The sequence below is a fragment of the Homo sapiens genome, chromosome 13, assembly GCF_000001405.40.
Source record: "Homo sapiens chromosome 13, GRCh38.p14 Primary Assembly".
Lineage (NCBI taxonomy): Eukaryota > Metazoa > Chordata > Mammalia > Primates > Hominidae > Homo > Homo sapiens.
The window spans coordinates 102,864,145-102,879,253 of record NC_000013.11 but is presented as its reverse complement, the minus strand read 5'-3'; the positions used below and the strand labels follow the sequence as shown (position 1 = coordinate 102,879,253).

The 15,109-nt window shown below is 39.2% G+C and overlaps 2 protein-coding genes across 2 annotated transcripts in view, besides 1 other annotated feature; both read right to left on the bottom strand.

Annotated features, from left to right (window-relative positions):
- Positions 3,259–15,109, bottom strand: part of BIVM-ERCC5 (BIVM-ERCC5 readthrough) — a 68,850-nt gene continuing 56,999 nt past the window's right edge. The window contains exons 17-23 of the mRNA NM_001204425.2: positions 13,343–13,587; positions 12,873–12,992; positions 12,409–12,622; positions 10,997–11,141; positions 6,856–7,056; positions 5,911–5,995; positions 3,259–3,947 (exon numbers count right to left, since the gene is read on the bottom strand). Of these exons, the coding sequence (NP_001191354.2) occupies positions 3,351–3,947; positions 5,911–5,995; positions 6,856–7,056; positions 10,997–11,141; positions 12,409–12,622; positions 12,873–12,992; positions 13,343–13,587 (1,607 nt within the window). The 3' untranslated portion in view covers positions 3,259–3,350. The remainder of the gene's footprint in view (positions 3,948–5,910; positions 5,996–6,855; positions 7,057–10,996; positions 11,142–12,408; positions 12,623–12,872; positions 12,993–13,342; positions 13,588–15,109) is intronic.
- Positions 3,259–15,109, bottom strand: part of ERCC5 (ERCC excision repair 5, endonuclease) — a 29,964-nt gene continuing 18,113 nt past the window's right edge. Inside the window, exons 9-15 of the mRNA NM_000123.4 lie at positions 13,343–13,587; positions 12,873–12,992; positions 12,409–12,622; positions 10,997–11,141; positions 6,856–7,056; positions 5,911–5,995; positions 3,259–3,947 (exon numbers count right to left, since the gene is read on the bottom strand). Coding sequence (NP_000114.3) covers positions 3,351–3,947; positions 5,911–5,995; positions 6,856–7,056; positions 10,997–11,141; positions 12,409–12,622; positions 12,873–12,992; positions 13,343–13,587 — 1,607 coding nt within the window. The 3' untranslated portion in view covers positions 3,259–3,350. The remainder of the gene's footprint in view (positions 3,948–5,910; positions 5,996–6,855; positions 7,057–10,996; positions 11,142–12,408; positions 12,623–12,872; positions 12,993–13,342; positions 13,588–15,109) is intronic.
- Positions 12,367–13,566: an enhancer, noted in NCBI's record as "BRD4-independent group 4 enhancer chr13:103518038-103519237 (GRCh37/hg19 assembly coordinates)". NCBI's record gives its function as "activates an origin of replication core promoter dependent on BRD2, P300/CBP, MED14 and CDK7 cofactors, and independent of BRD4, by STARR-seq in HCT116 cells {active_cell/tissue: HCT116}" and the evidence as "EXISTENCE:reporter gene assay evidence [ECO:0000049][PMID:35650434]".

Here is a 15,109-nt window from a genome sequence, read left to right as displayed (position 1 = left end):
AAACTCCCGCCTGGGTAGCAGAGCAAGACCCTATCTCAAAAAAATATAAATGTCTTTTAAAAATGATACAAAAGTCATACAACATATATTTGTGGGGTGAATATTATAGGTAAAAACATTCTGGAAAGTTCAAAATCCTAAGCAATGTGAACTATTATTCATAGGCAGTTAACTTGGGGCAGAGGATACTCTTTCTTTGGGGCTTTTTTAAAAACAAAATAAATGACGAATAAAAACCATTGTCTTTTTTAAGGATTTTTTTGAAAGATCATGCAATCCTCACTGTTAGATCTCTTAAGAGGCAGAATCCCTCAATCAAGCATCTTAACCAACATGACTGTTTAACAAATACATACAGACTTCTGCCTCCAGCTGTAAGTAGCTTATAGCAAACCTCAGCTTCTATTAACAATGAGAAAAATAGATTTTTAAACACACACACACACCCCACACAAACATGCCTCTGTTATAAAGTATCAGAGAGCTGTCAAGGCAGCCAAGAATTCCAGGCATTGCTGTTTCCTGAGGAAGCCAAAGAGAAGACCGCATGTAAGGATAGCAGCGGAGCATCAGGCAATCTCACAGAACTGTGGAGACAAAAGAAGAGTGTGGCTGCCAAGACAGTCAGATTTGTGGGCCCAAGATCCCAGAAAAAAGGGAGAGAGAAGCCTGACGCTTAGTGCTGACTATTCAGTCGAAGAATTGACTGATTAAGCTGTTTAGGGCAAGAGGCTAATTTTTGAAGCATTCAGTGGCAAAAGCAGATCCAAGCGCAAAAGAAGAAACATCAGGGCACTCCTGGAAAGTGACTTTCCTGGAATACGGGTGAAACTAGAAGCTGGAGTCTTACAGAAAAAACTGCAAACTAGCCTTCAATCTACTTTGTCCTCGCTGGCTGCACTGAGGTGATCTTCCCCTCTGCTGCCTGTCCAAATACATTCTGGAATCCTCTCTAGAGGAAGGTACAGGGTACCTATAATTTTTCCCATAGACTGTCCAACATTCAGTTAAAATTTACCCATGCATACCAAGAAACAGACAATAGAAATAAACTCATAGGTGACTTAGATATTGGAGTTATTCGACAGACTTTAAAGTAACTGTGATTAAGATACTCAAAAACAGATGACAAGAAGTACACCAGGGAACTGGAATCTATAAAAATGAGTCAAATTGAAAAAAAAAAAGAGTCAAATAAAACTGAAAAATAACAATCAATGAAATAAAATACTCAATATATGGGTTTAACAGCAAGTATAGATAAAGCTAAACAAAATATTAATGAGCTGGAAGATAATCGAAAAGGCGTATGATGGTCATCATCCTAAATAAGCTCTAGGTACACCAACTTGATGTGAATAATAAAGAATTTGTTCAGCTGCTGATTATTTTAAACAGGCAACCTCTTTCATAGGTAAAATAGCACCCTGGAATTTTGAGTTAGAAGATTTTGGTTCAGGTGAGAAGTTTTACCTACTACATGGGTGAATTTGGCAAAACTGGTTAATGTCTCTAAACGTGTTTCTCCCCTTGTAAAAGCATTATGTCTTGGTCACAGGGTTAAGAGAAAAAGAAGATACAATATCAAACTCTCATATAAATAGTGTTACAGAACAGGTTTCTCATGGTCCTGACCATCCATTTCCCCTTCTGCTTGCCCTGGACTTTGGTTCTTTCCCCTTCTGGCAGGATGCAATGCAGATGAAGTAATCACCCAGTATAGACCACTCAGGCAAGATAGCACCCTAGGGGTTGGCTGAACACAGGACTGCATGACCTCATGGTGCACAACTGCTTCACCAGCTCAGACTGGCCAGACTGTTGAGTAAGAGAGAAGTAATGTTCTAGCTTATTCAGACCACTGTATATGAGCATCTTTTGTTACAGTAGCTTATCCTTTCCCAAAGCTAACGCAGTGAAAAACAAATGTAAATATCTATTAAAGGCATCAAATTAAATTTGTTAGCAAGACAATTATTCTACCTGCAAATATATATGCAGAAAACTCCCAGTGACAAGTAATTCTGAGAAATGAGAAAAACACGAAAAAGTTAATTTTCCCCTCCCCTTGCCTCCAAAAATGTTCTGCTCCAAGTACCTCCAGAGAAAAGAAGCATGAAGAAAAGATTTGAGTTTATGTGGAAATCATTGTTGACTTTAGAAGGAGCTGCTAGAGAAGAATGATGGATGCAGAAGACGTATTTGAAATTAGGAAAAAATAGTGTGCAAAGAAAAGCAGCTGCTGTAGTCCAAGTACTGGAGAAGTTTGGCTGGCCAAGTCAATATAAATGAGAGCCTAAAAAACAACACATCTAGGAGTCGTTCAAAGACTGCTGGAGATTATCTATTTGGATTTTGTTTTCATTGGTGAAGATTTTCAATTTGAAGGCTGAAGGAAAAAGTCAGGAAAGATGGAAATACTAAAGATGCCAAAAGGACACAGACTTGGGAAGGTAGCTCTGAAGGCAGAGGACCCACGCTCAAAGTAATTGGTAGTACTCTCCTCCAATCATTCTTAACTCGAAGCAAATAGGAGCTTGGGGGTTGTTCTTGGGAGACGTCTCCACAGGAGCAGTCTTAAAATAACCTTCTTTGTCCACTCTGAACAAACACTGTGTCAACAACAATCATCCCCTGCAGGCCACTCCTAAAGCTGACCCACCTACACCAGTTCAACTCCAGCCCCCAGCCTCCAAATCCATTTACACAGAAGTCAGCTTCTAATAAGTGAAGTCTGGTTTAAAAGCCAAACATAACGGTACAGAGGTTCCCATACACTTAATGTTCACAGGTAGAATGATGCACCCCATTTAGGTTTCCTAATTGTTTGCTAAAACCACAGCAAACATATTGAAATATGTTCCAGCAGTGAGGCTCCCTCCTGCTATGCTTTTAAGTGGAACCTGAGGGAAAATGCAAAGCCGTGGGCAGCAGGGCTAAACAGTTGTGTAAAACTGCCACTATTGTGGAATTAGAAACATGCACGTATTTCTTCTCAGCTACGTCTGAATGTCAGAGGGAAAGCCTATTGAGAGTGAGTGCTGATCAATAGAAATCTTTTTCGCTTTTTTAACATGTGACCAGGAAGGATCAGACATTGTTAAGATAATGAAAACATGAAAAGACAAAGCCTGTGAATACAAGATAATATCCAATGATACTTGAAATATTCAGCTAAAAAATACTAGAAAAGTAAAACATTAAAAAACAAATGTCAGATTTAGCATTTGTTTTTAGGAACCACACACTAAATACAAAGACCGTGCCACCAGTTAATTTTATTACGTCTTTGCGACAAATTCATTACAAATGGCTGTCATAACTAATTATAGAGGATACATATTTTTTAATTAGGTTTTCCTTTTTCTTCCCCTCGCACGTCTTAGTTTCCTTCTTTTCTTCCCAAACACAGATCTGGCGGTCACGAGGACCATCTTCTCTTTCCCTCCATCGTCATCACTATCACTAGAGCTGCTGGTGGTCGCACCTCCATTCTTCACGGGAGCTTCCTTCACTGAGTTCTGCGAATCTGAAGCACTGGTTTTTGGCTCTTTCGCAGCTGTTCTCCTTTGTACATTCATTAAAGATGAACTTTCAGCATCTTCACTTGAAGATCCATCAGATGATTCTGAGAGGCAGGTCTCCCCCAAAAATCCACCGCATGTATTCTTTCCTTTAGAATCTGAAAGCCTCTTTCTTTTCAGGCTTGATGACTCTTCTAAGGTATTTGTTATGCCTCTCTTCTGGGTTTTTCCTTTTGCCTTATCAAGTAGCTCAAATTCTTTCTCCATGGCAACAGAAACTGCTTCTATTTCGCTGGCTGCTGCTTCTTTCTCTTTCCTTAGCATACATGTCACAGCTCTGTTTAGTCTCTGGCTCTTAATACGTTTAGCATCTTCTTTCTCCTGTTGTGCTAATCTAAAGAAGGAATCAATTCGGAGCTGTGTCTAAAAAAATAACAAAAGAATAATAATAATAAATCAGACAAGTAAGTCAAGTTTCTAAACCAAATCAACAAGCTCAACCTTGATCACTCACATTGGATTACTATGTCAGAGAATATTAATTCATTATCTCCCAAAACCCAGTTCTCTCCCAGTGAATTACTGACAGTAATTTTCACTTTCTAAATCATACCTAAAGCAGTACTTGTACCATCTCTGTCAACTAAGTCTTTAGTCCACATCTCAAATGAGAAATCTCTTCCTAAGATATTCAAAGAGCGTTAAATATTTTTCTGTAGCTAAACATTTCATCTTCCTCAGGAGCAACACGACTTCATGGGGCCTGTTTCTAAGTCCTACTATATCTTTCTTTTAAAAACATTATCATCATACAATACCTTTGAGAGGCAAGTTCACAGTATATATTAGCAACTGTAAGAAATATTCATGCCTTTTATTCAGTAAATTCACTTTTAAGAAGATATTCTTTGGCCGGGCATGGTGGCTCACGCCTGTAACCCCAGCACTCTGGGAGGCCGAGGTGGGTGGATCACGAGGTCAGATCGAGACCATTCTGGCTTACACGGTGAAACCCCGTCTCTACTAAAAAAATACAAAACATTAGCCAGGCGTGGTGGCGGGCGCCTGTAGTCCCAGCTACTCGGGAGGCTGAGGCAGGAGAATGGCGTGAACCCGGGAGGCGGAGCTTGCAGTGAGCCGAGTTCTCACCACTGCACTCCAGCCTGGGAGACAGAGTGAGACTCCGTCTCAAAAAAAAAATATATGGGTAAAGCTATATGCCTAATGTTCATCACAGCATTACTATAACAAACTTGAAAATTAAAGGTCTAACAAGTAAACTGAACTAATTATTTAAATATCTTTCATGAAATATAATCTAGTCATCTGGAATTAAGAAAACCACACAATACATAGAAGAAAATATGCTAATAAGTTGGGGGGGAGGATTAGATCTATTAAGTTACATTTAGTATGGCCACAAATAAATGCAGGAAAATTTTTTAACCTAAATGTTAACAACTGTATTAGAGGAGGTAACTAATGAGTAGTTTTAATTCATTTTCTTCATTTTCTAATTTTGGAAAAATAAACACATTAAGTTTTAGAATGAAAAAGGAGATAAATATTACAACAAAATTTATCTGAAATTAAGAAATCACCAGACACTAAGACAAATAGCTTTCCTTTTTGGTTGGTTTATAATGTTTCCAGTAGATAGTCATCCAAAAAACAAAGAGAAACTCATAGAAATGCTGTCTTAGTTTTGTTCATGTTTTTCAAAATTATCCAAGCCTAATGAAAATGGGTTTAATTTAAATATATTATCACAAAAGCTACATTCTCATTTCTGCTAAGTGGTTTATTTGTATGTATGTTTTGTGGGTTGTTTCTAGTGTGGGCGAAAGCTTGTTTTGTGTGAGTCAGAACATACTCACAGATAAAGCAAGAAGTAGGTACCTAGAGGAACTAAAGGTCATACAAAAGGGCTCCTTCCCACAAAAACCTCTCCTACTGATACACAATAATGACTGAACTTCTACCTTTCAAGATTCGTTTATAGAATTTAAAAATATTAGTACTTATAAAAACTTAAATGATCAGAATTGCTTTGAAGACTTCCTTTCGTTAAAAAATGAAAGTAAATCCCAAGGGGTAATGTATTTAATCAGAAACACCTTAGTGTGAAATCAGTTATTAGACTGGTTTTTTCAAAGAAAAAAATGAATATGAAAGGACTCCAAAGTTCAGCCCTAAGAGTGATCATAGAAAATGAAGCCAAAGTCTAACTTTTCTTTTTCTATTTTCTTCTATTCTCTCATCTAAATTATCCTAATTTCAAAATGTCTGCTCTATGCCCCAAAATAAGAGTTAACTGGTCTTTAACAGCTGTCAACCACAGCCTACCCTTCATCCTGAACTTAGGAGAAGGGTCCACCATGATTACCTGCTGGGCATCGAGTTGCTTTAATACAGGAAACAGAGATTCATCTGTCTTCGTTCTGTTCCAGCCGAAATACCGCTGACAAAATATGCATGCAGTTAAGACTTATAAATATTTTGAAAGATATTTAAACAAGTGACAAATAAAAAGGTCCAAAGAACCCATTCTTGATTCCATTCCCTGTATCTCCTAAGATTTTCCTATTTATAAAGATTAGAGTGCTAAAAGAAAGTACTAACAAAATAAATGACTCCAGCATAATCATCTGGCACTATGTTCTTTTCAATTCTATAAAATAAAACATATTTAGCTCTCACTTTAGGACATCAAAGACTTGTGACTATGAAAAAAGGTTAACTGGAATAAAAACAAGTTTCAGATATCTTGCCTATTTCATTAAGAGAAAAAATCAAACGTAGTTGGATTAATTCTAGTGCAAGTTTTGAAACATCTATCCAAATGATTACTTAAATATACACGGAAAGGACAACCAGTAATAAAAAGGACAAGATTAGTCATCTTTCCTTCTTTCAGAATCAATAATATTTAAGTATGTGGTTATATCTATGAATGCTTATCACTGCTTATTCAAACAAAGACCCTCTTTAAAACTAAGGAGAGGGGCCAGATGCAGTGGCTTGTGCTACTTAGGAGGCTGAGGCAGGAGGATTCCTTGAGCCCAGGAAGTGGTGGCTGCAGTGAGCTATGATTGCACCACTGCACTCCAGGCTGGGTGACAGAGTGATACACTGTTCCTTTAAAACAAACAAACAAACAAAAAACAACAACTGAGGAGAGGGAAGAAAGAGTGAAAAGGAGAGCGGGATATTAAGAAAATGGGATTAACGGGATATAAGAAAAAAATGATCCAAGTTTCTCTTCCATAAGTTTTAAACCAAACACATATTTGACAAGGTGTTTCCTTCTCTTTTAAGAAGCAAAGGATATTCTCTAATTTTGTCGAGATCAGGTTTCCCCCACAGAAAGGATCCCTTCGAGTCATCCACCACGGGTTTGAGGTAGGCCTCGGCAACAGCTGGGTTAGGAAAGCCAGGGGTGAGTTGCAATGTCCGTAATTTTTTTTTCACTTTGGTGTCATGAGGATTAGGTCTTATCTTTGGATTTTTTTGAGCTTCATGCCACCATTCTCTGTAAAATAAAGGAAACAATTACTTACACAGCAATGAGACATTATAGTTCATACACTATGGATGAAGAACTAAACTTAGAACATGTAAACTCAAGTTCTAACTCAAATTGTATGCTATATAGAATATTTTATTAATTTTAGTACTATTAGCCACAATGTATAATGATGGCAAACATTTATGGAAGTCTTCCTCTGTGCTTGGCACTGTGTTAAATATTTCACATGCCCAATCATCACACAAGCCATGCCCTATCGTTACCCTCACCTCACAGAGGAGGGAACTGAACTCAAAAATAAGTAACTGGCTCAAGATTTCACAGCTGGAATTGGTACAGTCTTCCTCTAGAGCCCACACTCATAATTATACCACAGAAGTTACAACTTCTCTGGGTCTCTTTCTCAGCAGTAAAATGGAAGTAATGTATCTGTATTATTTACCTCAAATCAAATACAATAATGGATCGAAGAATATTTAATAAAATGTAAATATGCCAAGAAAATGTTAAATTTGTTTAAAAAATCTGTAAAAACAGATACATGTATCTGTTTTTAAAATTTAACATTTTATATATATATAAATACATATGTATGTAAAACAAATAAATATATACAAAAACAGAGATAATAGAACTCTACTTAAAGTATGATTCCAGTTTTGGAAAAAACACATATATGAGAAAAGTAAACAGATACTTAAAATAAATAACACTAACAACTATTATTTCGCTGTGTGCTAGGCAATATTCTACGTGAGCACACAGCCATTCATTTTCTTCTTTATATTTTATTCATTTTTCAATGTTTTCCATTCTAAGCCTAAATCGGCCGGATAAAGACAGCGACACACTCTTGGACCCTCCTCCCATCACGAAGGGGGTCCCTGTGGCCTCCTCTTGAGCAGGGCGGCCATGGCTGACCAGTGTGACTCAAGCCGTGCCAGGCCTAGGGGAGGCCCTCGCCACTTCCTGTCCCCTGGACCTCCTGCTCTTGGCTCCAACATGCTATGAGGAAGCCAAGCTCACCAAGTGTCCACCCAGGCCCCGAGGCCGAAGCCACCTCATCAGCCCCGCGAGCCATCTTAAGGGGTCCTAGCCCAGCTGAGCTGTCCTAGCCGACATGGAACAGAGACAAGACACCCCCACCAGGCCTGAGCGAGCTTCAGAGGCATGAGCAAAATCAGTGACTACTGCTGTGTGAAGCCACTAAGGCTGAAGGTAGTTTGTAATGCAGTGACGACTGACCAGAAACATTTACACAATTAGGAAAAAATAAATGCCATCAAAGTTACTAACATAATCCTCACCAATCTATGTACTCAATGGAACCTGAAAAAACGCCCGCAGCTCAGGCTCCCCCGCTTCACAAGCTTGCTAGTGCAGCATTAGGAACCCACTCAGACCGGCTGTCAGGGCCAGGGTCCGCCTCACCGATGCAGGAGTGCCATCTAGCGTTGGAAATTACTAATTGCGGTCTTCAAAGTATTATAACAACAAAATGCAAAAAGGAAAAAATAATTTTTCTTCATTACTTTTACAACATTCTTTCCAGGAGTGCACTGAGAGAATACCGATAATTCTCCTCTACTTTACTTGCAGATTTTCGTTTTTGAAACTGTAATCATGACTGGCAGTTAGAATCAGTGCACTTGTGAGCTCATCAAGCCAAAGCTATGGTTACTCCTTCAAGCAGGAGGGCCTGGCACTTCACATAAAGATGAAAGGAGGAAGGTGTCTGTCAATCAGCTGAGCTGGGGGAGTGGAGGCAACTGTGATGAAACTGAAGGATTCATGCCCAGTCCAAGGCCTTGGGGTAGGGGAGGGGAACTGCTGTTGCTCCATGCCAGCTATTTTGGGGCTATCCAGAAATTCAGGCCCAGTATTTTCAGCTCTCCTTTTTCCCCCAACAGAATCCATAATTTTGTGTAAAATCTCCCAAAGGTAAATGTTGGTAGCCAATTGAAAATTAAAGCTCAAGAGAAGAATACACCGTGTAGTCCAAACCAAATGTGACTACAGCTCAATTCAACCTGCAGGCCCAATGCAGCCCCACTCTAAGAATGATTCACCAGCCAGGGTGCCCTCAGAAGAGGAGAACAGAAAACAAAGTGAGGCCACATTCTGATTTTACTGGTTTCCCACCATCCTTCCTGCTCTTTACTCTGTATTCATCCTAAATGTCCTGAGCCAGGCAGAGCGAAGGCTGCTCCTATCTGGCATCAACGAGCTGGAGGACCAAAGGCAGAAACTGCTCAAATATGAAAATGATTCAGCAGGCAACAAACGAGCAAAAACTGCTGAACAAAGAAAAGTGGAACAGCATAAACAGGTCATTCACTAAATCAGAAACACAAACCGTCTATGAACATAAAAAATTCACTCTCAATAGTTATCAAGAAACCAAATGGAAAAGTCAGATACTATTTCACTTATTCTAAAATAATCATTAGATAAGAACCCGAAGATTAAGGACACTCAAATCAATGTCTGTTAATACCTTTCTAAAAATAGAAATAACAAAAGACACTTGATTAAACTAGCCCTGATAGACGCAAAAAGATACTACCTGTAGCCATTAAAAACGATATAAATCTATATCATCGTTGATAATAGGTCTTGTTCTAATACCAAATGGGTTACAGGTAAAATAAAAAGTATATAGCATCATCCCATTCTTATAAAAAAAATCATACACACACTCAAATGAGTATACATATATATGCAATGTATATGCATATATATGTGTGAAGTCTAAAATTACATAAACAAATTGTAAACTGTAATCATCTTTTTAATACATATTTATAATTTTCTATGATGTATTTACTTTATTTGTATAATAAAGTTATTTGTAGGTTTTCAAGTTATTTACCTACCATGACGTATGTCTACCTCATAACTCATTCCCGGTATATAAATTTCCTCAACAATAAGAAAATCAGAAAAAGATAAATGAAGAAAGTATAAAATACAACACATTGGTGAGTGTGCTATGACTGGAAGACCATGATCACTACAACAGTTTCGCCGTTCATTTCAGTGATTCCAGTCACTGACTCTTCAGGTCAGAGCATCCTAGCATCTTTCAAACACAGGATATGTAACTGGAGAGAACACTCAAGGATCATTAAATCAGCCACCACCAAACAGCATCTCACGACATAGTGACGGTTAAAAGATGCCACCACAATCTTGTGAATACACTAAAAACCAATGAACTGTACACTTTAAATCGGTGAACTCTGTGGTATGTGACTATATTTCAATTTTTTAAAAAGATGCCATCAAGGACAAAGAAAAAACTACTTTCCCAGACATACTCATAACTCCTACCATCTCAGAATCTTCAAAATGATAAATGTACCCCGAGTATAGCACGACTCTGGGTTCTGGATGGAGCAAGACTTCACCACTGAACACGTCACGGGATTCACATGGTGAGAAACAGGACAGGAGTGCTGGATGTAACATTCCTGGCATTATATTTCCAAGTCGCTTCCTGGCTGACCTCTCTCAGGACACCAAACACACAGACAAGTACAATTTGCTTTGCTTCTCCATCACCTCCAAGTATATGGGGGGAGTCCTTGAGGGTATGGCCTATGCCTTACTCATCTCTCCTTTCCCCAGGGCCAGCACAGTGTCTGACACATCATAGCTGCTCTATAAGTATGTCAATGGATGAAAAGGCAACTTCTACATTCCTGTGAAATCCACAGGACTGGCTTTGTACCCTTGAACTAGGATAAGCCCAGCACCACTAAGAACTGACTCTGATTTCATCATCTCTAGAAAATGGAAAACAACCAATACTTTCTGCTGCTTTCTCAGTGAACCATTGTTCACATGTTACAGCATGACAGTTCATGCTGTAAATAATAGTTCTATTTGCTTATTTGGGTATTTACACAATTATCCAAATTAAAGAAATAAAAGACCTTACGAGAATTTTAGGAGAGGTTCCAGGCCATGCCCAGGGAATTCATTGAGAATTTCCATGGCGGTTACACAACCCACAGTTGGTATTCCTTCGGTATAATCACTTCCAAGCAAATAAGCCAAATTTATTAACTTATTCCGGTCCAATCCTAAAGAGTAACAATATTTTTTAATTTTTATCAAGATTTCTTATATGACATTTATAAACATTTTATTATATAAATCATGTACGTGTGTATATCTATATCTATATCCAACCACCAAAAATATCTTATTATTTGAAAATAAATTATTTTATTCAATGGCATTCTGTTAATATTTTTAAAGTTTCATCCATTCTCATAGCTTTAAATACCCTCTATACGCTGACCCCCAAAGTTAGCTATCTAGCCTGAGTCTCTCTGAACCACAGTCACATATATTCAACTATCAACTCAACACCTCCACTGGGTATCCAATGAGCATCCCCAATTTATCATATCCAAACCTGAACACTTCGTTTCTCCTCCTCCACTGTGCTCCCTCCTTGTCTTACTGAAGGCAGGTCCACTCGACCAGCTGCTCAGTATCTGGAATCCTCCTCGACTTCATTCTTCTCCCACCCCACATTCAATCTGCCTGCATACCCTAGCACACCAGACCCTGGTGGGTTTCAGCTTCTTCCTATTCTCTAAGATTAACCCTTGCCATTTCCTCCCTCCTCCTCTCACACTGGCCTCCTTGCTTCCCTAGAACACAGCCCACAAGCTTCTGCCTCAGCCCCTTTCACTCACTAGTCCCGAGGTATCTATCTACAGTGCTTGCTTCCTATTTCCTGCAGGTCCCTGCCTTGAAGTTACACGAGTAAAGCCTTTCCCAACAACTCTCTGAAACAGCACCTGCACTCTCGATGCCTGAAGTTCACTCTCTCCTCTCCTTTACTGTTATATTTTTCTATTTGGCACTTACCACCAACTGTCAAATTATGATTTATGTATCTGCTTATCATCTGTTTCTCCTACTATTTTACTCTCTGTTCCTTCCCTCTTGTTAAGAACAACTGGCATATAGGAGTCACCAAACATATATTTGCTGGATGAACAGAAGAAGATCAGTGCCAGAAACCCGAATACAGGCCCAGGCGCGGCCTGCTTCCCCTCTCCACCACCTTTTGTTCACTGTGGAGATCTCGGGTAACTAGTCAAAGTTTAACTAAGTCAGTTGATTAACTACCTAAACATACTAGGACTTTAATTCCTTAATTCAAATGTTTAAAATCCTATTCCTCTATATAAGCCAAAGATCACTCATATAAAAATTTGCATAGACCTGCAATTTCCATCAATGCATCAAACTAGTTCCTTGGAAAGAAAACTTCCTAGGACAAACTCTGAAGGTAAATGTCAGAAAGTAATCAAAAAGACTCTGAAGTCTTACCCAATTGATTGTGAAAGTCCACATATTGATAATATTCTACAAACTTGTTTTTATTAAAAAAGTTTCTATAGACATGCCGCGCTCCAAACAGCCAGATATCACTGTCATCAGTGATGGTTCCGGAAGTCTGATCAGTCAGGTCCAGGATGGCGCACTGCGCCTCTGCTTCCATGGGAGCCTGGATGTAGGGAATGCCGAACAGGCGCAGGAGTTCCTGCAGAGTGAGGGGTACACAGTGACGCCCAGGGAAGGGCACCGCCAGGCCCTGAGCACAGGGGGAGCAGTGCCTACCACTTCATGTAATGCATTCATTCCTGCAGAGTTAGGGACACACAGTGACCCCCAGGGAACGGCATCACCAGGCCCTGAGCACCAGGGGGCACAGTGCATACCCCCTTCATGCAGTGCATTCCCCCAGGGGTCTGAAGAAGGTGGTAAAGGAAACCCAAGCTGCCTGCACCCACCTGGCTTTCCAGGAACATCTGTCCGGTGACAGTAGCAGCGATCCGTTCTTGCTGCTGTTTTTGAGCTTTCAGTGAATTCTGCTGTGCTAAGAGGTTGCTCTCCAGAGTTTCCAACTCCTCCTATAAAATGTTTTTTCATTTATAGATTTATATTAATAATCCAAATGAGTTTTGTTTACAAAAAGCCTGCATTTAGTCTGACTGAAATTACCAATAAGCTCTTTCTCCTTAGGAAGTACTCCACTGGATGTCTAACCAAGACTCTGTAATATCTTTAGAGATTCATCACTAAACCACATGGAAAACGGAGTCTATCCCAGCCAGTAACCTACACAAAAATGAAGCCATCAGCAACCACAAGATGTACTGCAAATAGCTACTAAATACTCATCCACCAACTCCTTAAAACTCAAAACCTACTTAACCTGGCTTCCTCAGCAAGAAGTCGAAACACAATGTTACGGTATTACCAAATTAATATCTTGCCATTCATGGAGCGAATCTTCCGCATCTTTCTCAGCTTCCTGTGGCTCACCATCCACGTCGTCCCTCTCAGAGTTGTCCCTCAGGAGGCTCTCGGACTCAGCAGGGGCTTCTCCCTCCCTAGTTCCTACCAGTTCCTCTTCGCCTTGTTCTGAGGGAGGTTTGGAAGTTTCAGGGAATTCTGCTTGAAGTTCCTCATCACTAATCACACTTTGCACTTCAATGAAACTTCCTGTACCAAAATTAAAAGGTCACTTCATCTACAATCAAAACATTAAAATGATCCTGCAATCATCAAGAGCTTTCTGGAGGAACCTGAAAAATGCTACATCCTAAAAAGGAAAGATATGACTATAACAGAATACATGTAATAGTAGCGTTATTAATAAATAAATGTAATCACAAATGCCTGTAACTTCAAAACAAGCCTTTTCAATTAGGTAAACTGGCACTGTCTTTGAAAGTAGGAAACTCTCTTAAGATTTGTATATTCGCTTTATATAAATATGTTCTAAGTTAACTGACATTGTTTTAAAAATTCAAAAAGGAGGATTATCAAAGTATATAAACAATCATGGAAGTTGCTCAGTATGTTTTTATGCTATTTACACAGCACAGAATAAAGCTGTGACTAAGAAATAGTTCTTCCTCTTCCACTTCCCTTCTCTCCTCTCTTACTGTCTTACTGTCTTTCCTTCTCCTTAAAATATATTTAATGGTTGCCTTCCTTCCCTGTAGGTGGAGAGGGCTGGCAAGGCCTGTCCAGCTGGGTTTAAGGAGACAATCAGAACAGAGGAGGGGGCTCTCAGGGACTGGGAGCTGGCACCAAGGACACAGCTGAAGCAAAGAAGAGAGCAGGGCCAAGGAGGAGGCCAGTGGGAGGGGGAGATGGTTACATATCCAGGGAGAATAAGCAGATGTAAATGTATTGAGGATAAGGGGAGCAATGTTTCTCATTGTTAGGGAAACTATAAAGAAGCAGGAGGCTAGACTGAACCCCATGGAATTGCAGATGTCAGTATAAACTCATGGATTTTAGTACAGATAGACATAGAAATAAATATAGATGTGTGTGTGCATGTATATGTATACATAAATATACTTCCTGGCACTGTTGCTGAAAAGGCCTGAGACAGTTATACCTCAGGATCCATAAGCACACTCACATCCAGCTTGTGGTGTCTAAACCCCATGCTCCACTGAAAGGAACCAGAGCTCCCTGGTGAAATGGCTGGTTCCAGGACCAGGGCAGAGAAAGTACAACATATGCCTGAAACAGCTTGGCCAGAAAGCAAGGAAAAGCTCAAAATATAATGAAAAAACTGCTGAAAGCCATTAGAAGGAGCCCCAATGGCCAAAGCTGTGATAATTTGAGTAACAAAGTAAATTATGACAGTATTGGATTATAACTCACTAAATAGGAATACAGGAGTCTACACTGATTAAAAATAATAAAAATAAATGGGGAGAAGGAAAAGATCTTCCTCATAGGAGGATGTCAAGTAATAATATATAAGGAATGATGGAGTTAGAAAAACCATCATTTGGCAACCAACGTAGTAACAAATTATTCAGGTAAACATCAATGGATGCTAACAAGTGGGTGGAAGTTTGTTCAGGAACAGCATATTTATATAGCTCCAAAAATTCCTTTTCCACAAAATACTTATTAATTACAAAAGGGAAATAGTAACATTTGAATGAAGAAAACTAGCAGATACCAGGAACAAATTGTGTGTGTGTGTGTGTGTGTG